Here is a 26,182-nt window from a genome sequence, read left to right on the forward strand (position 1 = left end):
TTCTGGGATGAAAACCACTGCCAAAGACTCTCCAAAGCCTAAACAAGATAAACAGGAATTTGCAGAAAAATTTAGAGTTCTGTGAACTCCAACCTAGCCCTTGTACATTTTCCTATTTCAATAAATGGTATCATCAAACACTGAGTTGTGAAAATCAGAAATCTAACAATTTTTCTTAAGATTGCAGAGCTAAGTTCCTTTCAATGCCTTCCTGGCTATTTTTGCCTAGCTCCTGGAATTTAAAAAAAAAAAAAGCCTAGAGGTATTTTTACTGGGATCTTGCTAATTTTTAAATTACTCTAGGTAGAGAACATCTTCAAAACATCAAATTTTTCTCTATGAGAACACATTCAGTCATGTGTTCTCATTGTTAAGTATGCATTGCTTAACAATGGCGATACCTTCTGAGAAATACGTCATTAGGCGATTTTGTCACCATGCAAACATCATAGAGTGTACTTACATAAATCTAGATGGTATAGTCTACAACATACCTAGGCTATAATGGTATAGCCTATTGTACCTAGGCTACAAACCTGTACAACTTGTTACTGTACTGAATGCTGTAAGCAATTTTAACAGAATGATAAGGATTTGTATATCAGACCTAAACATAGAAAAAGTACAACAAAAATAGACATTATAATCTTACAAAACGACTGCCATATTTGTGGTCCATCGCTGACCAAAACATCATCACACACCACTTCTTTTCATTTTTCAGGTCTACTTTTCCAGCATTAATTCTAAATATCTGTCTAATATCTCTACGGCTATCACCCTCCATTACTACCACCCCAATCTAACCTATCACTTCTCACCTTGACTATTCAATGGCCTACTAACTTGGCTACCAGCATCCACTCTTTTCTCAGTCCATTCATTTTCCATACTGCAATTCAGAGTGATATTTTCAAAGTATAAATCTCGCCATGTCACCTTGCTATTTAAAATCATTTCATTTGCTCCCATTGTACTTAGGATAATTACCAAAATCTCCAATATGTCCTAAAAGATTTAATCCCTACCTGCTTCTACAGGCTCAATTTACACCATGTACCTATTCATGTCTTTACTTCCAGCAACACCAATATTTTAGTTGCTTAGCCACTGAACCTTAATGAATGCTATTTTCCCTTTTCTATTGCAGATGCTCTTCCCTCCCCTTTTCATAGCGTAAACTCCTATTCATCTTCAAAGCTCAACATCCTCAAAATACCTTTTCCATTCTCCTCAACCAGGTCAAACCATCTCAGTACATAATGTCAAAGCATTATGTATGTCCTCCATGATATGTATCACAGTTCCAAGTACATATGAATGTTTGTGATTTTCTTAGTATGTCTTCTTCCTTCACTACCATGAAATACCCATGAGTGCAGAGACGATTTCTAGTTTTGCTAATTTTCTATTTCTAGCATAATAGTGTCAGTCACATAATCTTTTTTAAAGAGATAAAGAGATATTAGCAGGGGAACGGAACAGAGTATTATAGGTGTAATAGAAATTGCTGGCTGCCCACAATTCAGCTTTCCCTCTTCCAGAGTAAAATTGTTGCTAAGAAGCAACCTTTACATCTAGGTAAGAGAATGTGATTAGTTATTGGCAATAGAAAGTAGGCAAGAATGGTGTGTCAATCCCAGGCCCAGGCATTTAAGAAACAGATTTGGCTTCTCCATATTTTCCATCATCTTCCACCATGTGAAGAAGACACCAAGGCCTCAGGGTGAGCCAAAGCCGTAAGATGGGTCACAGCATGGAGAAAATAGCATACAGATCGAAAGTATCCTCAATTTAACTGTTATGTAATTAAAAACTAAATTTCTATTATATTAAGTTTCCAACAGTTGGAGGCTTACTGGTATATCAAATAGCATTACCCCAATGAGTTTACCAGTTGTTATCTTAATGTACTAGCCTTATCAGAAATCAATATATGCACTGGCTTATCAGTTGGGGGCAGGCAGCATGGGGAACAGCTATTTTTGAATAGAAAATTTAAGATGTCTGTAATGCAGTGGCAAAATATTTAATAAAACTATAGCCTACAATAGCTTGAAAGGCAGATCACATGGTTTCCAAGCTTATATCTCTAGGGAAATAAATTGGAAGAACAGTACTTTGTGCTGGCTTTTATTTGTATTTAGCTAAGTGTATTAGTCTGTTTTCTCACTGCTGATAAAGACATACACAAGACTGGGAAGAAAAAGAGGTTTAATTGGACTTACAGTTCCACACGGCTGGGGAGGCCTCAGAATCATGGTGGGAGGTGAAAGGCACTTCTTACATGATGGTGGAAAGAGAAAAATGAGGAAGAAGCAAAAGCGGAAAGCCCTGATAAACCCATCAGATCTCATGAGACTTATTCACTGTCATGAGAATAACATGGGAAAGATAGACGCTTACAGTTCAATCATCTCCCCCTGGGTACCTCCCACAACATGTGGGAATTCTGGGAGATGCAATTCAATTTGAGATTTGGCTGGGGACACAGCCAAACCATATCACAAGGGATTTCAAGCAAGTGGTAAGCTCATATGGAATCAACCTAATTGCCTATCAATTGATAAATGGATAAAGAAAATGTAGTATATGCACACACATACAATGGTATACTATTCAGCCTTTAAAAAGAATAAAGTCGTGTCATTTATTATACAACAACATAAACCTGGAAGACATAATGTTAAGTTAAATAAGATAGGCACAGAAAGACAAATGTCACATGATTATGCTTACATGTTACATTAGTCTGTTTTCACACTGCTATAAAGACATACCCAAGACTGGTAATTTTTAAAGAAAAGAGGTTTAATTGACTCACAGTTCTGCATGGTTGGGGAGGTCTCAGGAAACTTACAATCATGGCAGAAGGAGAAACAGGCACATCTTACATGGTGGCAGGCAAGAGAGAGCAAGCAACAGTGGGGAAAACTGCTTATCAAACCATCAGAACTCGTGAGAACTCACTATCATGAAACAGCAAGGGGGAAATTGCCTTCATGATCCAGTCACCTCTCTCTCTCGACAGGTGGGAATTGTCCATCTCTTGACACGTGGGGATTACAATTCGAGATGAGATTTGGGTGGGGACACAGAGCCAAACAATATCACATGTAGAATCTAAAAAAGTCAAACTCATAGAAGCAGAAAACAGAATGGTGGTTGCCAGGGGGACATTGGGGTATGGTGGGCAGAATGCAGAGATGTTGGTCAAAGGGTACAAAGTTTCAAGTAGACAGGATGAAAAAATTCTGGAGATCTATTTTACAGCATGATGACTATAACTAATGATATATCATATACTTGAAAATTGCTAAGACAGATTTGTCTTAGCAGAGAAAATCAGTTGTTACATTCAGTAATACCTTATATGGTAGTATTTCCAAACTTCAGTCATTCACAGAGCACCCTCATAATCTTTGCAGTATTTGCATATATCTTATGCTCTTTTCCTTAAAGCCACTTTCTCTTCTTTATTTATTTATCATGGTGACATAATAAATGAAAATCCAGTATCATACGCTTTACATGCATGATAGCCTTTAAAAATACAATGGAAATAAAACTCACCATGATAAATGAAATTGCAGTATCATATGCTTTACGTGTATGATAGCCTTAAAAAATTGTGAAAATAAAACTCACCACAACAAATAAGTATGTGAAGTAATAGATACATTAAGTAGCTTAATTTAATCATTCCACAACATATACATATATGAAAACATCATGTTGTACCATAAGTACATAAAACTTTTGTCAATTATACCTTAATAAAGCTGGAGAAAAAAGAAAAAGTGAGAATCTCGGGAAAGAATTCTCTTGCCTATGCAAAGTACATTCATTCAAAGAACTCATGCAAGGTCCTACTTTTCTAGAAAATGTTCTGTGAGCACTCCTGGCTTCATGGCTCTTTTCCATATAGAAGTCCTAAAGTGTTCTATTACTTGAATATTTATTAACTAACTACTATGTACCTACATGAAAATAATCCTTTTTTATTTTCATGTTCAATGCTGCAGATATATTTATATGACAATCTACCTCTTGAATACAAAAATAATCCTGTGAACTTACCACCTACTATCCCCTAAGGGAAGCCCTGATATTAAGGAATCCAGCGATGAGAGTGGAAAGGAATTAAAGGGGTTGAAATGCAGTTTTTGGTGGAATTCATTTGGAAAAGAGGGCTCTTAATACCTGACTTTAAATGGACCAGCCAACTTATAGCAGGATTATAGCCACCTTAGGATAAAGATTAGTACTTGCTCTTCATTCTATATTTGTATAGATTTGGTTTACTTGTTTTCCCTTAATAGTCCACTCACATAATATGCATATGTTAGGAATTCCTACTATATGTCAGATAATATGCTAGGTACTACCAATTATTATCAATAAGCAAGATCAATAGGTCCTTGCCATACTGTGTACATTTGTGTGTAGAACAAATACCAATGTGCATGTGTATGTGTTTGCATAAATTTTAAATGTTAGGATGAGACTGGACTAAGTTAATTATTCCAGGCCTCCTCTCCTCTAGTGAGGGCCTTAAAAAAGGAACAACTCTATATATAAACACTATACAGCAGCAGTCCCCAACCTTTTCAGTACCAGGAACCAGTTTTGTGGAAGACAATTTTTCCACGAACTGGTGGGGGGCGGGGAGGATGTCTGGTTTCAGAATGAAACTGTTCCACCTCAGATCATCAGGCATTAGTTAGATTCTCACAAGGAGCACACAACCTAGATCCCTCATATGCACAGCACAGTAGGGTTCGTGCTCCTATGAGAATCTAATGCTGCCACTGATCTGACAGGAGGTGGAGCTCAGGCCATAATGCTCACTCACCTGCCACTCACCTCCTGTGGTGTGGCCCAGTTCCTAACAGGCCACAGACAACTACTCGTCTGTGGCCTGGGTTGGGGACTCCTGCTATACAGGAAGAGCCCTATCTATATAAGTGTTATATTCATAGTCTATACTAGTGGCTCTCAGTTATGAATCCTTAGATAGATGGCAAAAGAGATGCATAAGAATCACCCAGAAACTTGGTAAAAATAGAAAATTCCAGTCTCCATACTCAGCAATTTCAATTTAGTAGGCTTAGAATAAATATTTATAAAGCTTCACCTAGATGATTCTGTCACTGGTAGATCTGTGTCCCTAAACAGTGCCTTGATTGATTATTTAATTGTGCTATACTTCTTTTATCATAGTTAAAGTATGGCAAAGTATTGTGGTATTCAGTACCAGTAGCACAAAATAGTTTAATAGTAGCACAAAATCGTTTAAGAAAATAAATAGTTTAAGTAAGTACATAAACAATGATATTTTAAGAAAAGCTATGGTTTTTCTTTTTTTTTTTTTTTATATGAATAGTTAAATTTTTTTTCTTTTTTTTTTTAATTAATTTATTTATTTTTTATTGATCATTCTTGGGTGTTTCTCGCAGAGGGGGATTTAGCAGGGTCATAGGACAATAGTGGAGGGAAGGTCAGCAGATAAACAAGTGAACAAAGGTCTCTGGTTTTCCTAGGCAGAGGACCCTGCGGCCTTGGCCTTCCGCAGTGTTTGTGTCCCTGGGTACTTAAGATTAGGGAGTGGTGATGACTCTTAACGAGCATGCTGCCTTCAAGCATCTGTTTAACAAAGCACATCTTGCACCGCCCTTAATCCATTTAACCCTGAGTGGACACAGCACATGTTTCAGAGAGCACAGGGTTGGGGATAAGGTCACAGATCAACAGGATCCCAAGGCAGAAGAATTTTTCTTAGTACAGAACAAAATGAAAAGTCTCCCATGTCTACTTCTATCCACACAGACCCGGCAACCATCCGATTTCTCAATTTTTTCCCCACCCTTCCCGCCTTTCTATTCCACAAAACCGCCATTGTCATCATGGCCCATCCCCAGTGAGCCGCTGGGCACACCTCCCAGACGGGGTCGTGGCCGGGCAGAGGGGCTCCTCACTTCCCAGTAGGGGCGGCCGGGCAGAAGCGCCCCTCACCTCCCGGATGGGGCGGCTGGCCGGGCGGGGGGCTGACCCCCCCACCACCCTCCCGGACGGGGCGGCTGGCCAGGCAGAGGGGCTCCTCACTTCCCAGTAGGGGCGGCCGGGCAGAGGCACCCCTCACCTCCTGGATAGGGCGGCTGGCTGGGCGGGGGGCTGTCCCCCCCACCTCCCTCCCGGACGGGGCGGCTGGCCGGGCAGAGGGGTCCTCACTTCCCAGTAGGGGCGGCCGGGCAGAGGCGCCCCTCACCTCCCGGACGGGGCGGCCGGCCGGAAGGGGGGCTGACCCCCCCCACCTCCCTCCCGGACGGGGCGGCTGGCCGACCCCCCCCCCCCCGCCTCCCTCCCGGACGGGGCGGCTGGCCGGGCAGAGGGGCTCCTCACTTTCCAGTAGGGGCGGCCGGGCAGAGGCGCCCCTCACCTCCCGGACGGGGCGACTGGCCAGGCGGGGGGCTGATCCCCCCACCTCCCTCCCGGACGGGGCGGCTGGCCAGGCGGGGGGCTGACCCCCCCCACCTCCCTCCCGGACGGGGCGGCTGGCCGGGCAGGGGGCTGACCCCCCCTCCCCCCTCCCGGACGGGGCGGCTGGCCGGGCGGGGGGCTGACCCCCCCACCTCCCTCCCGGATGGGGCGGCTGGCCAGGTGGGGGGATGACCCCCCCACCTCCCTCCCGGGCGGGGCGGCTGGCCGGGCAGAGGGGCTCCTCACTTCCCAGTAGGGGCGGCCGGGCAGAGGCGCCCCTCACCTCCCGGATGGGGCGGCTGGCCAGGCGGGGGGCTGATCCCCCCACCTCCCTCCCAGACGGGGCGGCTGGCCGGGCGGGGGGCTGACCCCCCACCTCCCTCCCGGACTGGGCGGCTGGCCGGGCGGGGGGCTGACCCCCCCACCTCCCTCCTGGACGGGGCGTCTGGCCGGGCAGAGGGGCTCCTCACTTCCCAGTAGGGGCGGCCGGGCAGAGGAGCCCCTCACCTCCCGGACGGGGCGGCTGGCCGGGCGGGGGGCTGACCCCCCCACCTCCCTCCCGGACGGGGCGGCTGGCCGACCGCCCCCCCGCCACCTCCCTCCCGGATGGGGCGGCTGGCCAGGCAGAGGGGCTCCTCACTTCCCAGTAGGGGCGGCCGGGCAGAGGAGCCCCTCACCTCCCGGACGGGGCGGCTGGCCGGCGGGGGGCTGACCCCCCCCACCTCCCTCCCGGACGGGGTGGCTGCTGGGCGGAGACGCTCCTCACTTCCCAGACGGGGTGGTTGCCGGACGGAGGGGCTCCTCACTTCTCAGACGGGGCGGTTGCCAGGCAGAGGGTTTCCTCACTTCTCAGACGGAGCGGCCGGGCAGAGACGCTCCCCACCTCCCAGACAGGGCTGCGGCCCAGCAGAGGCGCTCCTCACATCCCAGACAGGGCGGCGGGGCAGAGGTGCTCCCCACATCTCAGACGATGGGCGGCCGGGCAGAGACGCTCCTCACTTCCTAGATGGGATGGCGGCGGGGAAGAGGCGCTCCTCGCTTCCCAGATGGGATGGCGGCCAGGCAGAGACGCTCCTCACTTTCCAGACTGGGCAGCCAGGCAGAGGGGCTCCTCACATCCCAGACGATGGGTGGCCAAGCAGAGACGCTCCTCACTTCCCAGACGGGGTGGCGGCCGGGCAGAGGCTGCAATCTCGGCTCTCCGGGAGGCCAAGGCAGGCGGCTGGGAGGTGGTTGCAGCGAGCGGAGATCACGCCACTGCACTCCAGCCTGGGCACCATTGAGCACTGAGTGAACGAGACTCCATCTGCAATCCCGGCACCTCGGGAGGCCGAGGCTGGCGGATCACTCGTGGCTAGGAGCTGGAGACCAGCCCGGCCAACACAGCGAAACCCCGTCTCCACCAAAAAAAAACGAAAACCAGTCAGGCGTGGCGGTGCGCGCCTGCAATCGCAGGCACTCGGCAGGCTGAGGCAGGAGAATCAGGCAGGGAGGTTGCAGTGAGCCGAGATGGCAGCAGTACCGTCCAGCCTTGGCTCGGCATCAGAGGGAGACCGTGGAGGGACAGGGACAGGGACAGGGACAGGGAGAGGGAGAGGGAGAGGGAGAGGGAGAGGGAGAGGGAGAGGGAGAGGGAGAGGGAGAGGGAGAGGGAGAGGGGTTTTTCTTTTGTTTTCCCACATATAATAACACTTACTATCAAGATACTTTCACTTAGGGACAGAAAAGATAAGCTATGAGACAGTTCTTCTCAAAATGTAGGACATGGACTACAAGTGATAGAGCAAATAATAATGGTACCCAAAATGATTTTAGAAGATATACAGATTTTACATGGCACATGAACATACATGAAATAATTCTGAATCACCAGAAAAAATATATTTTCAATTCTCTTTCAATAAGAAATGCTCAGTTAGCTATTGGTATATCTTTTACACCTCTCTACCATTACTTCTCATTTTAAGAAACAGAGAGCATGTCTCAGAGCCTTTAGCAAAACAGTATCTAGCCAAAATTTAGAAACATTGCTTTATTTTCACTGTATTTTCAAGGCTGTCATACATGTAAAGCATGTGATACTGGATTTTCATTTATCACAGTGAGTAAACAAACAGAAAGAAAGTGAATTTAAGGAAAAGAGCATAAAATATATGCAAATACTACAAAAGTTATACATACATATGCCTGCAAAAATTATGAGGGTGCTCTATGAATGACTGAAATTTGGAAATAATACCATGTAAGGTATTACTGAATATAACAACTGATTTCTCTCTCTCATGCACACACATAAACATAGACTAACATATTCAATAATTAATACAAATGAATAACCAAAAGCCAAAAAATACTTGTAGAAAGACATTAAATGTACTGCCTGACAAAGTAACCAAAATAACATTATATGACAATTATTGTTTTTACATTTTTTACTAAATGAATTTGATAATCCCTATCTGATATACATATATATGAAATAGACTCATGTTGTTGTCTGAAAGCCAGAACAATTATTATTCTACAATTCATTCTACACACCTTATAATCCTTGGGTCGGCAGCAGCCAAGATGAGAATGATCTGAAAAAGGAAGTACAAAACAATTAAAGTTTAAATTTGGTTTCATCTTTGATTTTTAATACTATCATTGTTTCTACAATTATAATTCACTCAGAATATTTCAGAGATACTTCAAAATCCTTCAACAGTGTTACATCAGAAAGGATAATAATCCATTAGTTAAAATTTGTATTAGTTCTTCAGCAATTAAATGATTTCACAAATACTATTTTCATTTGAAAATAGCAGGAAATATCTGAATACAGAAAGGAGTAACTTTTAGTCGATAAACCAATTTGTGTCTATGAAATGAATAGGGTTTAGTTGATAATCAATTTATGATGAAACATAATTTGTATTCACAGATTTGACAGATATTGTCAAACTATATGTTTCCTATTCTTATACTCCATTCTAGATTCAGGTGTAAAGAAACAGGACCAGCTTTAGAGGGTGGTGGCATACAGTAGTTTATAGATCTTGTTGACAAATAAATCTGCATTATACATTCCAGGCCCAAGCACCTTGGGCATATAACTTAATCTCTCTAAGTCTCAGATTCCTAATATGTCTGATGTGCCTCTTTCATAATATTGTTTTAAAGATTATATAAGATCTTACACGTAAGGCACTAAAATAGAAATCAACTATTATTACTAATACCATCATCAACAACAACATCATTACTATCAAATGTAAACTCAAACAAGCAGGGGTTCAATTTCAAATTCTGCCACTTATTAAACATAGTATTCTGGTCCAACTATATAAAGACAATTGATCTGTTTCATGCCTCATTTTTAAGAGTATGAAAACAATGCCTACCTTATATCAGAGAGTCAGAGTGATGATAACATGATACACTTCGTGAAAATCCCCAGAAAAGTATCTATCACATAGTGGATTTTAAAACTAATTCTAAATTTATCCGTAAGATAATAACCACTACATTCTACATGTAGATTTGGAGCTTTACTCATTACTTAAAGGAATAAGCTTTCAAGAATCAACTTTTATTATAACAACTTATAATATCTGTTACACTGACAGAAAAGAAAATAAGAACCAGAGACAATCAGTTTGCAGCTTCAAGATAGTTGACTAGGGGCATTTTGTACTCCCTTCCTCCACTAAGAAAAACCAAAAGAGCAGATAGATAATCATACATTGAATAGATCAGCCAATAGAGAATACTGGAATTCAAAAGGAAATTGGCAGACAACACCTAAAGCAAGGAAGGAGAAGGAAGCAAGATGGCCTGTACAGTGAGGACTGGCACCCAAGAGATACTTCTCAATACACAGAAAGGGTAAGTGAGAGACTCTCAGCTGTCCACATTATCACCATGGATCCCTACGATACCAGGCCACTGAAGAGCTCCTGAACCCTCGTGAGCCCTGAAACTAACACAAGGAGCTGCCGGGAGATTGTACCATGCACTGCCCAAGAGAGAACACTTCCCCTGGGTCCTTCATGTTCCCTGACACTTAAGTAGCTATGGCAAGGCACCACTTTAGAACTCCCTCCCCTACAGACTGTGAGCTGTCCTGGAGCCCAGTGGCAGCAGGGCTGCCCCCAGGACTTAGAAACAAGCTGTCACAAGCTACTGGATGTAGGGCTGTATTAGTCCATTTTTACACTGCCGATAAAGACATACCTGAGAATGGGCAATTTACAAAAGAAAGCAGTTTAATTGGACTTACAGTTCCACGTAGCTGGGGAAGCCTCACAATCATGGCAGAAGGCAAGGAAGAGCAAGTCACGTCTTACATGGATGGCAGCAGGCAAAGAGAGAGAACTTGTGCAGGGGAACTCCTCTTTTTAAAATCATTAGATCTCGTGAGACTTACTCACTCTCATGAGAACAGCATGGGAAAGACTTGCCCCCATGATTCAATTGCCTCCCACCAGGCTCCTCCCACAACACATGGGAATTCAAGATGAGATTTGGGTGGGGGCACAGCCAAACCATATCAAGGGCAGAGACATGACTGAGCCTTTGGGACTGCAGCACAAACGAGATGCCATTCTGGAACCATTCCCCCAAAAGACTGTGCACTATCCTGAAGCCCAGCAGCACTGGGGCTGAGGCATAAGTGCCACTGGGCTGAGGTACGAGTGGTATACATGCTCCCCACCTGCCAGCTAGGGTGCCATCACAGATGGCAGCATCATCTCCAGCCCCAAGTAGCAGGGCAGAAGTACAGATACTACCTTCCACAATCCAAGCATCCCACCAGTGGCCTGGCGACCACTCTGCCCCTGCCTACCACAGCCAGCACTTGTTCACATCATCAGGGAGCCTGAGGCAAGCAAGACAGGCCTGACTCTGCCCCTCCTCCTCCCATGCCAGACCATATAGTTTGAGGGCCAGAAGACTGCCCAGCCCAGTCCACCACTACTGGCACCTGAACGCTCCTCCCCAGGGAATGAGATTGGGCCTACACTCATAGCCACTACCACCAGAGCTGGCATTTACCTGTATACAACACCTTCAAGCCTGGGGACTGGCACACCTAGACGATCTCAGCCACTGTCAAAAACAATGCACACCGCTTGGGACCCAGAGGGTCATCCTGCCACTGTCACGGTCATCACCCATGCCACACTGGCTACCCAGAGGCTTGAGAACCTGTCCATCTGCCTGGCCCATGATGGCTACTACCAGCATCTGAGTAGGCCAACTAGAGGCCCATGAATCAGTCCACCAGGACCAGCTAAAATTGCTGCCAGTGCACACCACTCTGGAGCCCAAGGACAGGCATGGTCAGCTCAATACTGCCACCACTGCGACCCAAAGACTAGACTACCTAGTGTCCCAGTCCTCAGCAAAACTAGAACACAGCCTCCACTAGTAATTGCACACTAAGCCAATGAGCAAGTCTCAGATACCACGGATGCTGCTTATAAACAAAAAAAAAATCACACAGAGACTACACCACTGCATGCACCCAGAAAAAGGCCAAAGTGCCCTACCCAACCAGTAATGAGGATTCATCTGCAGGAAAAAGTCCCCCCAAAACAAAAGCAAATTCAAAAAATTGGAACAAACAACTGATATAACAGATGTTCAGATATCAATGTAAGGACAAAGAAAAAATGAAAAGCAAGAAAATATGACACCTCCAAAGGAACAAAATAATCCTCCAGAAACAGATCCCAATCAAAAACAAAGTCATGAAATCTCAGAAAAAGAATTTAAATTATTGATTCTAAAGACACTCAGTGAGATACAAGGCATTCTGAAAAACAATATAAAAGAATCAGAAAAATAATGCAGGACGTGAATGAAACTTTTACGAAGGAGATATATATCACAAAAAAAAGAACCAAACAGAAATTCTGGAGATGAATTAATTGACTGAACTACAAAATACATTTGATTTTTTTTTTTTTTTGAGATAGGGTCTCACTCTGCCACCCAGGCTGGAGTGCAGTGGCACGATTTTGGCTCACTGCAACCTCCGCCTCCTGGGTTCAAGCGCTTCTCCTGCCTCAGTCTCCAGAGTAGCTGGGATTAGAGGCATGTGCCACCACACCCACCTAATTTTTATTTTTATTTTTTATTTTTTTTGAGACAGAGTTTCGCTCTTCTTGCCCAGGCTGGAGTACAATGGTGTGATCTTTGCTCATTGCAATCTCTGTCTCCTGGGTTCAAGCAGCTCTCCTTCCTCAGCCTCCCAAGTAGCTATTTTTAGTAGAGATGGGGTTTCACCATGTTGGCCAGGCTGGTCTCGAAGTCCTGGCCTCAAGTGATCTGCCTGCCTCGGCCTCCCAAAGTGCTGGGATTACAGGCATAAGCCATCGTGCCTGGCCTACAAAATACGTTTGAAAGCATCAACAATAGACTAAACCAAGCATAAGAACCAGATGTCAGAACTTGGAGATAGGTATTTTGAAATAACCCAGTCAGGCAAAAATAAGAAATAAAAAATGAACAAAACCTTTGTGATCTATGGGACACAATAAAGCGACCAAATATACAAATCATCTGTATCCCCAAAGGAAGAGAATATAAGAGTTCCAAAAACTATTTAATGAAATAATAAACAAAAATTTCTGAAGTCTATCAAGAGACTAGACATTCAGATGCAGGGGGACCAGTAATCCCTAAGCAGATACAATGCAAAAAGTCTTTCCCATGGAATATTATAGCCAAAATGTCTAAAGTCAATGACAAAAAAAGAATCCTGAACAAGAGAAAAGTGACTAATCACCTATAAAGAAACCCCCATTAGACTAACAGCAGATTCCTAAATAGAAACCTTACAGACCAGGAATGGGATGATAAATTCAAAATGCTGAAAGAAAAAAACCTGCCAGTCAAGGACACTCACTATTAATATATCCAGAAAAAAAATCCTTCATAAATTTAGGAAAAATAAAGTATTTCCCAGGTAAGTAAAAGCTAAGGGAATTCATCACCAGTAAGCCAGCCCTACAAGATGTGATCAAGGGAACTCTAAACCTGAAAGCAAAAGAATGACCTTTACCATCTTGAAAACACACGAAAATACAAAACTCAACAATAAAGCAAACACACAAATGAGAAAGAGAAAAGATTCACGGTACAACCACAGATAACCACCAAACCACAATGACAAACAATAAGAGAAAAAGAAAGGACCAAAGAATATAGAAAAACACCAGAAAATAACAATATGGCAGGAACAAAACCACACATACCAATAATAAACTTGAATGTAAAACTAAAAATACAACTACCACACAATCAGCAATCTCAGTACTGGGTATCCATCCAAAGGAAAGGAAATTAGTATATTGAAGAGATATTGCAGCACTATTCACAGTCGCCAAAACATGGAATCAACCTAACTGTTCATCAATAGATGAATGGATAAAGAAAATGTTGTGTATATACACAATGGAATAATAAAGTAATTAGGGCATAAAATTAATGATATCATGTCATTTGCAGCAACATGAATGGAACTGGGGGGTCATTATTTTAAGTGAAATAAATCAGGCATACAAAGACAAATATTGCATGTTCTCATATGTGGAAGCTAAAAATATTCTCTCATAGAAAGTAGAATAATCGATACTAGAGGCTGGGAAGGATGGGTTGGTAGGGGTGGACGATGAAGAGCGGTAGCTTAACAGGTACAAACATAAGATTAGAAAACAGGTATACTCTGTTGTCAAAGGAGAGCATAGTAACTATTGTTAACAACATTGTATTATATATTTCAAAGTAGCTGGAAGACAGGACTTAAATTGTTCCCAACATAAAGAAATGACAAATACACAAAATGGTAGATAATTTAACCACTCTTAATTGATCATCACACATTCCACACAATGTAACAAAATATCACATGTACCCAATAAATATGTAAAATATTATGTATCAATTTTTAGAACAGAAAATCAGAACCATAAAATTCTACTTTCTCACTCACACATATCACTCAAAAGCATTCTATGGTTCTACATTCTACTTTCCCAAACCACCTAATCCAGAAAATAAATAAAGACATATAATAGTCTGTATTCAGCATTTTTTATGGCACAAGATATTTTCTAGGTACCCTGAACCATACCAGAAATCAGCTGAAATATTAATACATTTTACACGAGGTCAACTTCTCCACATAATGTAAGATTCAATTTACTTCAAATGCTTTTCAAAAATTAAAAATAAGAATAAATCACAGTCCAACTTCTCTTCTGTACAAGTCTAATATATAGCATGATCACAAGTAGTTGAAAAAATAAAAAAGTGAGAAGGACATCCGGACACGGTGCCTGATACTTGTAATCCCAGCACTTTGGGAGACCAAGACAGGAGGATCTCCTGAGTTCAGGAGTTCAAGACCAGCCTAGGCAACATGGTGAAACCCAATCTCTACAGAAAAAAAAAAAAAAAAAAAATTAGTTGGGCATGGTGGTGCATGCATGCCTGTAGTCCCAGCTACTAAGGAAGCTGAGGTGGGAAGATCATTTGAACCAGGGAAGTCGAGGTTGCAGTGAGCCATGTTACACCACGCCCACCAGCCTGGATAACAAAGCAAGATCCTGTCTCAAAAAAAAAAAGGACAAGGATATGCTAACTTTGAAAATTAAGGTAATAATTTCTGGAAATAGTATGTATTTCCTGGAAGCTAGCATTATATTAAAAGTTTCTGTATGTTAAAGCACTCGTATGGCTTCTGCATTCCACAAACCATTTATAAACTTACCCTGATTTGCACAGGTTTATAATTTTATTCCTACAAATTAATCTATTACTTTGATCTGAGGTTTCCCAATGTTCATATTTAATCACCCTCACCACCAATTAGTCACAAACTATATTTCAAATGTAAGAAATCAAGGAGATGAAAGTCATGGCCCATGGCTGTGAAGTACTTATAATCTATTTTGGTTAAGTTATAACCAAAGTTGAACAACAGCAGTATAAAGAACAAACTAAGTCAGAATGGTATAATAATTATAATATAAAAAAGTTATACCAGAGAGTAATCTCTCAAGGTAAGGCAAACAGGAAAAACTTCCTAAAGGCAAAGAAACTTGAGATGGACATAATCATTTAGAAACGTAGGAAGAAAAAAAAATTAGGTCAAATCTTGTGTGTATGACTTGGCGCAACTTACTATCCTTCTTTAAACCTCAGGTTTCTTCATCCATAAGAAATTCAAACAAGAGGGACATGTTTAAAAGCAAACAAATTAATGAGGTATTTACTAATGAGGCTGTCCATGATGACTACATGCTATTTTATTCAGAAAATATTAAAACATTACCAGTTACTGTTGTCTACTCAAGATATGACATACTAGGATTTGAAATGTTATTTCTATTTTACTTTGTGACAGTTAATCATCTGATAAGGGATTAATGGAAGTTCATAAAATATTACGATCTTATATAGAAATGAGACTCATAAAAGAATCTTCAAATGAAGAGAAGAAAAGAAGTTTCCTCTAAGAGGAGAGACAGAGTCTAACATATTTCCTAAATTACTAAGCAAAATGTAAAAAGAGGCCAGGATGGATGTACTTGATTTCCTCTTCAAATATGCAAATAACTAGATAAAGCTTACAAAAAGTCTCATATTACAAGAGATATTGAGTTTCTTCAAAAGGACTGCACAAATTACAATTAGAATTATATAACATGGCAGTAACAGCTACAATGTGCTTGAAAATTTTATTTTAAAAAATATACCTTAATGAAAGTAGAGAAAGTAGTATGAGACTGGTAGAAAAGAAGGAGCTAGAAGCTAGAAGACCTGGATTCTAGATTTGTAACTATCAAGCCACATAACTTCTCTAAACCGCTGCCATTTTTCTCAAATATAATTAAATCCATCTTCACTTGATTATTTTGAGGACTAAAGCAGTAAATGTTGGTGAAAATGGCATCCTATAAAAACTTAATAAATATTAGGCAAGATAATTTGGCAAGAAAATGTTCAAGAAGAATTTCTATTAAAGTAAAATCAAAAGTGAAAATTCACTATGTGTAAGAGATCCTACCATAAGAAATTCCCATATGTATTTAAATGGTTGATGAGAACCCAGAAGTTGGTAAGTACTGCTCAGTTGTCAGCCAGGGGAAAAAATATAGTAAAAAAAAAAAGTTGAGGGGGGACATTAAGATCAGAAAAACAAGAAGGAAAAGCTCTAGAAATCCAGTTATTAAATGTACAAAGAAGAATAGAATTTTTAAAAATCACTATTTGGCAAAAATCACAGTAAGAAATTGTTTCAGGCAACAGTAATCAATATATGCGAAAGGAGTCAAAGTTGAGGTTTAATAGGATATTACATAGTTTCAAAGTATTTCTCTGCACAATTACAAAAGACAGAAATAGCACCTTTTTGATGGAGAAAACCAGCACATCCATCTTAATCAAATGAGTAAAATTAACATCCCCAGTAGTGGAGAAATACCACATACCTCCTAGTGTGATGCACTGAGAGTAACACATCACTTCTGTTGTATTCTGGAGGAAAATAAATAATCTGAATCTAATCATGAGGAAAAATCAAACAAACCCAAACTGAGGAACATTCTACAAAATAGCTGGCTTATGCACTTCAAAATTATCAATGTCATTAAGCACAATGAAAGACTAAGGAACTAATCCATATTAAAGAAAACAAAAGAGGCATGGCAGCTGAATGCTATGTATGATGATATTTCTTTTGCTATAAAGATATTATTAGGACAACTGGCAAAATCTGATTTAGCTTTATAGATTAGTTAATATTATTATATCATTGTTAATCTGCTATATTGTTAATTAACTGGCGTTAATCACATAAAATATTGTCTGAATTAGTCTGCTCAGGCTGCCATAACAAAATATCATGGACTGGGTAGCTTAAAGAACAGAATTTTATTTCTCACAGTTCTGAAGACTGAAAATTAGAAATCAGGGTGCCAGCATGGTCAGGTTCTGGTAAGTTCTCTCTTCCTCTCTTGTAGATGGCTGCCTTCTAGTTGGGTCCTCAAATGGCAGCGAGAGAAGGAGAGCCCAAGCTCTCTGGTATATTTGCTTGTAAGGACAATAATGTCATCATGAAGGCCCTGTTCTCAGGACCTCATCTAAACCTAATCACTCCCAAAGCCTCCATCTCCAAACCACCATATTAGGGGCTAGGGCTTCAACATATTAAGTTTTAGGGCATACAAATTCAGTCCATAATAATATCCCTGTCAAAAAATTCTATACACAGACTCATATACAGACAGAGGAAAGAGAAAAAGAGAAAGAAAAAGCAAATATTATTGTTATGGATTCTGAGTGAAAGCTATATGGCAATCCTTTGTACTACTATTACTTTTCCATAAGTCTGAAATTATGCCAAAATCAAAATAAAAAGTTAAAAGAAAACAACTCATTATTGATCTCTCTGATTATACCTCTACATAGGCAACTGACTGCTTTGATTAAAAGTTATTAGAAACCACAACAGTTCTGCTGGCAAATATGTAATCGTCAAGAAAAATCAGATGCTTAAGTGTTGACAAAAAATCTTCCAAAGAAACATCTATATTGAAGTTACTTTACAGTGGCTTGTTCCTAAAGCTCATTTTCCATGTCCATAAACTTCTTCCAAGAGAGAAAACAGTATGTAACATCTGTTTCTAATTTCACATAATCTGCTATTGTGGATATAAAAGACCTGTTGATTATCACATCTATCTCCCTGCTTGTGCTAAAAAACAAAAGCAAGCAAAAACTCTGCACCTTTTCAGAAAAGAATGTTTAATCTCATCATTAAAAAATAAGAGATTACACACAACAGGTTAGAAATAGAGATGAAGCTCACTCAATGTAATGATTCTATTAATGATTTTATTTTTTTTCACTCAATCTCATTTTTCTTCCTCTATGACTTTCTCAGTATGTAGTAAATTAACTTTAAAGGCTGCTAGGGAATACTTGTTGAACTCACTAGCCAATGTCTACAGATATTAACACTCAATACCCTTAATTATACAATACTATTTAACCTTCATAAAAATTATCTTCATATTGAACTTAAGAAGCAACTTATCTAACCATAGCACTACTAGGGCTAAAGATGAAAAACCATTCCTAACAACGTAATTAAAATTACTTGGTGAGAAAAGGGTTCCACAGTCAAGTTTATAAAATGTTGAGTAAAAGTAAATTAATCAAGTCATTTTTTACTAGAATATATCACATTTTTTAACATGTTAATATATATATTCTAAGTCTCAAGGTGGGAAATGATTTATAGTAGCACAGAAATCCTAATATCTTAGAGAGTATATAGTTACTTTTTACTCTTTACAACATACAAGTTGTAAAAAGCTACATTATACAATATTATCCAATAATGTAACAAAGATTCTGTTTTTGTTAATTGATGCCAAATTAAAGGCTTGATTGTAGCTCAGGCAACTACAGCAATGAATAAAGACAACTTCTAGCTTACCATTGTGCACCCTTGACCATCCATCTCTTTCACAGTCTCTTCCAGAAGATCCCAATAAAGTATCAGCCCTGGGACTTGGGGGATCAACCTAGAGGAAGCAGGATTTTTATGTAAAAGAGAGTTTAAACATTCCTAGACTTTCAATCTCATGGTACCAGAAAAACTACTAGAGTACAGAGAGCATATATAATCAGGGAAACATGATGGTGCCCATGAGAGTCAGACATGTTCCAAAGAGTTTATTCAAGTATTTTGTTGTTCGTTGCAAAATAAAATTGAAATTTAACTTCAAAAATTTTTAATTCTATATATATGTGCCTACTTTAAAATGAACAGACTTGGAATTGAAATGTTTATTACTCCAGTGCCTAGTTTGCTTTCCATCACAAGGTTAAAAAAAGAGCAATATACTTTGCCATATTTTTAAAAGTCTAGCCATTTGCTTCTTAGCTCCTTAGCATGCACATTTTGAATTCAAACAGTCTTTATTTGGCTGCTTTCAGAGCCCAGCATGCTCAGTGATCTATAGCTTAATATAATAATAGTTAACCACATTTCCTAACAAAAAGTAAAAAGAATGATACAAATGTATAAAAAAAATTCCTATTGATCAAAATTTAAAATTTTCATGCATCAAAAAATAATATCAACAGAATGAAAAGGCAACCCATTGAATCAGCCACAATATTTACAAATCATTTATCTGATAAGGGGTTATTATCCAGAATAAAGAACCCCTACAACTCAATAACAAAAACAAATAGATTTAAAAATGAACTTGAATAGACATTTATCCAAAGAAGTTATACAAATGGCCAATAAGAACATGAAAAGAAAAAAATTCAACAACCCTAATCATTAAGGAGACAGAAATCAAAATCATAGTGAGATACTACTTCACTGTAATTTTGAGATACCACAAAATCATAGTGACGTACCCATTAGGATGGCTATTATGAAAATAAAGTGTGGGAGAAGATGTGAATAACTTTGAACACTTGGAATTTATTGGTGTGCAGTGCAAAATGGTACACCTGCTATAAAAAACACTATGTCAGGGTCTCAAACAATTTAAAACAGAATTACCATATGACTCAGCAATTTTTCATCTAGGTATATACCCAAAAGAGTTGAAAGCAGGGCCTCAAAAATATATTTGTACACCTATGTTTACAGCAGCGTTATTCACACTGTACACACTGTGACACAGCAACATTACTCATAATATCCAAAAGATGGAAGCAACCCAAGTGTCTATCAAGAGAAGAATGAACAAACAAATGTAGTACATACATATAAGAGAATATTATTCAACGGTAAAAGGGAAAGAAATTCTCACATATGCTATAACATAGATGAACCTTTATGAATATTATACTAAGTTAAACAAGCCAATCGAAATAGGACACATGATGTATAATCACACTTAATATGAGGTACCAAGAGTAGTCAAATTCATAGAAATAGTAGAATGGTAGTGGTTGTCAGGGGTTGGGGGAGACAGGAATGGAAAGTTATTGCTTAATGGGCACAGAGTTTCAGTTTAGCAAGATGAAAAAAGTTCTAGAGATAGATGGTGGTATGGTTGTATAACAACATGAATATATTTAATGTTTCTAAACTACACACTTAAAGATGGTTAAAATGGTAAATTTTATAATATATATAACCACAATTTAAAAAAACAAATTTTTTTAAAAGACAGCCCACACAATGGGTAAAATGTGGTATATAGTCTTACAACAGGATATAATTAAGCCATAAAAAGGAATCAAGTACTGATATATGCAACATGGATGAACCTCAAAAACACTGTGCTAAGTGAAAAAAGCCAGACACAAAAGGCCAAATGTTGTATAATTATATTTATATGAAATGGTAGAATAGGCAAATTCATAGAGACAGAAAGCAGATTAGTGATTGCCAAGACTATGGGAAGGAAGGAATGCAGAGTGAATACTTAATAAGTACAGAGTTTCCATTTAGGAGATGAAGAAATTCTGGAACCAGATAGCTGCATAACACTGTGAACATCCTTAAAACAACTGAATTGTACACTTTAAATTCGAAATGGTAAACTTACGTATATTCTACCACAATAGAAAAAGAAAAGATCTTATTCTGCATAAATGGAAAATAAAAAGGCTGTTTTACTCGTCTAGGATAATTGCACCAGTTTTTTTTGGAAGCATGTTAATTGATTTCTTAAAACTGTTTCCTTATTCTTTAAGATGAAAGAATCTTGGAAGCACGCTAATTGATTTCTTAAAACTGTTTCCTTATTCTTTAAGATCACTTTTCATACCATGTACATTGACTACAATGTCTTTCCTAAAAGTGTTACATTTTGCATATGCATGTATTAAGTTAAAACTGTGTTTGGTTACCTATTTGCTAAGTGCTTCTAAAACCATGAATGGCTATGGAGGAAAAAAAATCTCTATGTTTACAAACACAATCGGAAAATCCACTTTCCTATTTAATAATGTAAGCAATCTAAGTATAGACTTAGGAGTAGGCATTTCTGTTTATTGAAAAGCTAGGGAGGGAAACCATTTAAATACAAACTTCAAAGTTTGTATCAAGCAATATTAGAATTATTCCATTCTAAACACTGACATAAAAAGTAATAATAAAACAAACATTTAAAGAAAAGCAGTTATTTTTCCAAAGAATTTTAATGTGGCTTACCCCTAAAATATTTCAGTTTATTTTTGTACATAGCATTTTAATTAAAATGTTACTATTCCTTCAGATGAAAATATAGTATATCCTTTCTTTTCAATTTAATTTGTAATTGTGGGAAGACTTAAAATTAAAGGCATTCTAAAACTGTCACCAAATATGCAACTAAAATATTATCTGAATATTGGTCAAACAACAACAAAAAAGTGACCAAAAGTTAAAATCAAATTCTGTAGAAATGAGAAAAGTAGTCACAATAACTTCAATAAAATGTTGCCACTTAAAAGTATCCATTATACTATAAATTTTCTTTTATGATAAAACAATCTGTTACTTAAGAGTTAAAAAAAACGACTCATAGTCAAAATACAGGTGGAATGAAATGTTGCTTAAGACAATATTTAAATTGTTTTAAAAAGGTATCATAAAGAAAATCTGAACTTTCAGATTGTGTATGTTCAAAAAGTTATTAGACCACCAAAGGGGCATATTTACATGTTGGATGAATTCATTTTACAATTTAGAAAAAATGAATTAAAGACATTAGTCAGAAATATTTTTATAGATATCCCAAAAAGTTATTTTGCTTCTATCAGCACTTAAATCTTGAGGTTTAGTATTATTATATATGTACATATAACATTAATCCATATTTTTATTAGTCTGAAAGCTTTCAGTAAAGAATTGCTTTTAAGGTAAAAATACTTCATAGAAATTCAGGAAACTATGAAGATTCTGAGGGAGTCCTTTCCTAAACATTCTGATTATAAACCCTTAAATTTAGCCAAAGTCTACTTGATAATCATATAAACACAAGACTCTAAATTTCAACTATATCAAAAGCACAGTTCAGTACAGAGACTAGAACTAGGTTACCCTTAAATGAACTTTTTTCATTTTCAAAGGCCTTCCCATAACCATCAAACAATAATTTGCTTTGAAGATCCATCATACAAAGTTTACCCAAGGGATGTAATTTAAAAGGAAACTTACTTTCCATTTTAATTTTTATAATTTAAAAAAGGAGGGTCTTCCTTTTCATAAAGAATATTTGGTTCTCTTTTAAAGCCCTACTCTGCCATTTTAGTACTAATGTCAATTACAACCAAGTTCAATTGGTAGCGTTATTATGCTATCTATTGTATAAGAAAGGAAACCGGTACTGAGAGGATTTAACATGGCATTCATAACACAGCTTGATCTCTGTCAGGTCTGAAGACTGAAAAAAAGCAAGTTCTTTCATTCTAAATTAATTTCCCATCTTAGACTGCTAGGGTAGCAGTCAGAAGAGAAAAGTATTATTAATATAAGCTAGAAGTTGAAAGATATTTCAGAATAACAGTTTTTTTGGGAAAAAAGCTGATCAGTTTCAAATAGAAATGCTTAAGAGAACACATACATGTCTAATCACAAATGGAGGTTTATCTGTTTCTTTTTTGAACTCATAGGGTCCCAGATTTAAATGGGCCAGCCGCCGCCTGGTGTCTTCAGATAGCTCACACATGCGTCTTTTTGTGTAGGGAGATGGAGAGTGTGATTTTGAAGAAATTGTAGGCTGTTCGTAGTTTTTTGCATTTATACAGTATTTACTTCTCTCAGGTGACTTGGATTTTTTCTTTTGTGATCTTGATGTTCTGTTTTGCAGTCTGCCATGTGATTTTTCAACTGGAGCCAAATGGTAAATAAATTTATCCTAAACATAAAAAATAAAAATTAACTTGGTCAAAGGGGATTTTTAAAATTCCTGTTGGTGGGGAAAAAATTAAAAAGTAATTTAAATAAGACGCAAAATCTATCAAAGCCAACTAGATCAGTCCTTCCTATCTGTGCTGATCCTGGGATAAGTCAAATCCACATTCTCCTAGATAACTCTTTCTGCAGTAGTTATTAAAGTACACTGTCTCAAACTTCCTTAAGTCCAACAAGGACTTTATAAAAATTAAAGCCCGATACTTAATCACTTGAAAAATTAAAGAAACAAAGTCAAAAAAATTATTTTTCAGTATACTAAAAAAGTGCAAACATTGGTTACATATATATTTAAATATTCGTGTAATTGGCTATATAAGAGAACTATGTTTAGTAATGTTAAAAATACATGCCAGATTAGTTGATTACAAAATCTTTAAAGATAAAACTATAAAAATAAGTTTCATCCCTTCTGCTATAATTATATATATATCTGTACAACACAAAAATATAAAGAACTCTATACATATTTTAATGAAATGTGTTATTTGGATTGTAATACACACTTTTAAGCTCCCTTCCGAGCTGTAACTTCACAATGACAGATAAACATACCATCTTAATTCTGGTCCCATATTTTTATAAAATTAGGAATATAAAAAGCATTATAAACTTAGTAACATTTTATCTAATAAAACTGGTTAGCAGTCTAAAAGTTTTGAGGCTAAAATTTAATAATTCTAACTTTTTTATTATTAGAATAACATCTTATTCAAATAATCTCTGCCTTATAAAGGCCTTAATAGTTGGATTACAAGCAAGTAATATAATATTTCTTCCTACTTTATCCAGAGTTATAAGAAGCTTTTCAATTCAAGAAAATGGACTGCGGAGAATTTTTAAATGTCTTCCTAACTTTAATCACTTTTAAAAGCCACCAATCCTACCTCCAGCTCTATTTCCTCAACACCTCTCTTGACTTGCTAAGGGTAACTAAGTGAATAAAATACAAATGTGAATAGGATGAAGAAGAGTCAAATTTTTTAAGTGGATACACAGAAAAGAAAATTAATTTTCCTAATTGGAAAAGTGAGTTTCAGCTAGGGCAATGGTCTATGCATTTCATACAGACCAGTTGCATCAGATTACTCCATCTTTCCTTCTTCTGTAGTTCATGGTATGCTTCTGGACCTTCTCCACCTTGTTCAATGATTTCAAAAAGTAATTCAGAATTTTTCTACCATATCCATTTCACCCATCTCTGTGACATCACAGACTTACAGAAGCAAAGAATGTCAGCACTAGAAATGATCTTTGAGTTTACTAAAACATTCAAGCAATGAATCTTTCTAAGACCTTGGAATCATGAGTTTCTGTCTTTCAGTTTTAATTATCTAATTCTACTCCATCTTGGATTTAATAAATATGCAGATCCCTTGCATTCCAATTCTGAAAATCCCTTGCTGACCAAAACCTCTTTTCCTCAACCTACTTCTTGACTCACTGAATCTGTTACTTGCCCTTCTCATCTCCTCAGTCCCTAGAACTCTTCCCCCAAGTTCTTTACACATTTTTAATATCTCTTACCTCCAGACCCAACTAAACTCATAATCATCCATTTCAGCAATGCTGTAAAGTTCTTTCTTATATATATACCTCTGATTATATCAAACCTTAATTAACCTCATCTTTATTAAAGCTTTTAATACTGCATACTACTAGAGAAAGTTATAAATTACATACTATCTACTACAAATGCATGCTGTCTAACCCTACTTATTCCTTAATGGATCCTGTTCATGCCTAGTAAAACTTTTAAAAAGTGACTGTGTTATACCATTTATAAAATGGACTGACCATGTGACTTGCTTTGGACAACAGGAAAATAGCACATGCAGCACAAGGAGAGACACTTCAAAAGTGCTTATCCTCTCTTATTCCTAAAACCTTCCTGCCATCACATGAATGAGCTGGAATTCTTAGCCTGATAGATGATGGGACTATCTCATCCCAGCTGAAATGAAGCTCATCACTAGAAATTTAAGATCCTTCCCTGGGCAAAACATCTGCCACTGTTCAACATGTGAGTAAAGCCATCCTAAACCATTCATCCCTAGCCAACCATTCTAGACTAAAGAAATCAACCAGCAGATCCACAGAACTGTGAGAAACACTTGCTGTTTTAAGTCACTAAGTTAATGAGGTCTGTAATACAACCAAAGCTATGTGATACAGCAGATTAACAAATTTATATTCATAAAGTTACTACTGATATTTAACTATTTAATAATGAATTCCACTTTGCAATAGGTAAAAACATTTTAATAATGTTACATGCTAGGCATATTGCATATATTCCCTAATCTTTACAGCAGCCTTATGAGGAACTCGAACCCAGATCTGTCTGTTTCTAGAAAGAATATTTAAAGAAAATGTATTTCCTTAAATACTGACACCAATGCCTTTTCTCTCATATCTCTGTTCAATAAAGATCCCAAGTCAAAAAGTAAAAATAAAAATAAAAATAAAATGGAAGACTCTTGTTAAAAGTTTACAGAGGGAAATGTTAGTTCATAAGTACAATTAAACTATGAATGGGTAATGGTTTTACATTTAGAAATGGCTTTCACCAAGCTGTACCCTGAGAATGTATGTACTTTTCTATGTGTATGCTATATTTCAGACAAAAAGTTAAAAAGAAAAAAAAGACTTCTCTATCCATCTATTGGAAGAACATACTCCAGCGTGAAGAAAAAAAAACTGTCTGAGTCCAGGCAAAGCATATCTAACCATTTACAATGTGCACAGTGCACATCTCTAAAACAAGTC

At 38.4% G+C, this 26,182-nt stretch overlaps 1 protein-coding gene across 21 annotated transcripts in view; it reads right to left on the reverse strand.

Annotated features, from left to right (window-relative positions):
* The window catches only part of SPATA6 (spermatogenesis associated 6), a 210,816-nt gene that overhangs the window by 114,899 nt on the left and 69,735 nt on the right, over window positions 1–26,182 (reverse strand). For 19 of the 21 annotated variants that reach the window (XM_047422913.1, XM_047422901.1, XM_006710699.4 and 16 more), the window contains 3 exons: window positions 23,064–23,357; window positions 18,980–19,067; window positions 9,022–9,062 (listed from right to left, as the gene is read on the reverse strand). In XM_047422913.1, the coding sequence (XP_047278869.1) occupies window positions 9,022–9,062; window positions 18,980–19,067; window positions 23,064–23,357 (423 nt within the window). Of the gene's footprint in view, window positions 1–2,970; window positions 3,124–9,021; window positions 9,063–18,979; window positions 19,068–23,063; window positions 23,358–26,182 lie in introns of those variants that run through there. The other 2 variants (XM_006710701.5, XM_047422922.1) reach the window with 2 other exon arrangements.

This window comes from Homo sapiens, chromosome 1, assembly GCF_000001405.40.
Source record: "Homo sapiens chromosome 1, GRCh38.p14 Primary Assembly".
Classification (NCBI taxonomy): domain Eukaryota; kingdom Metazoa; phylum Chordata; class Mammalia; order Primates; family Hominidae; genus Homo; species Homo sapiens.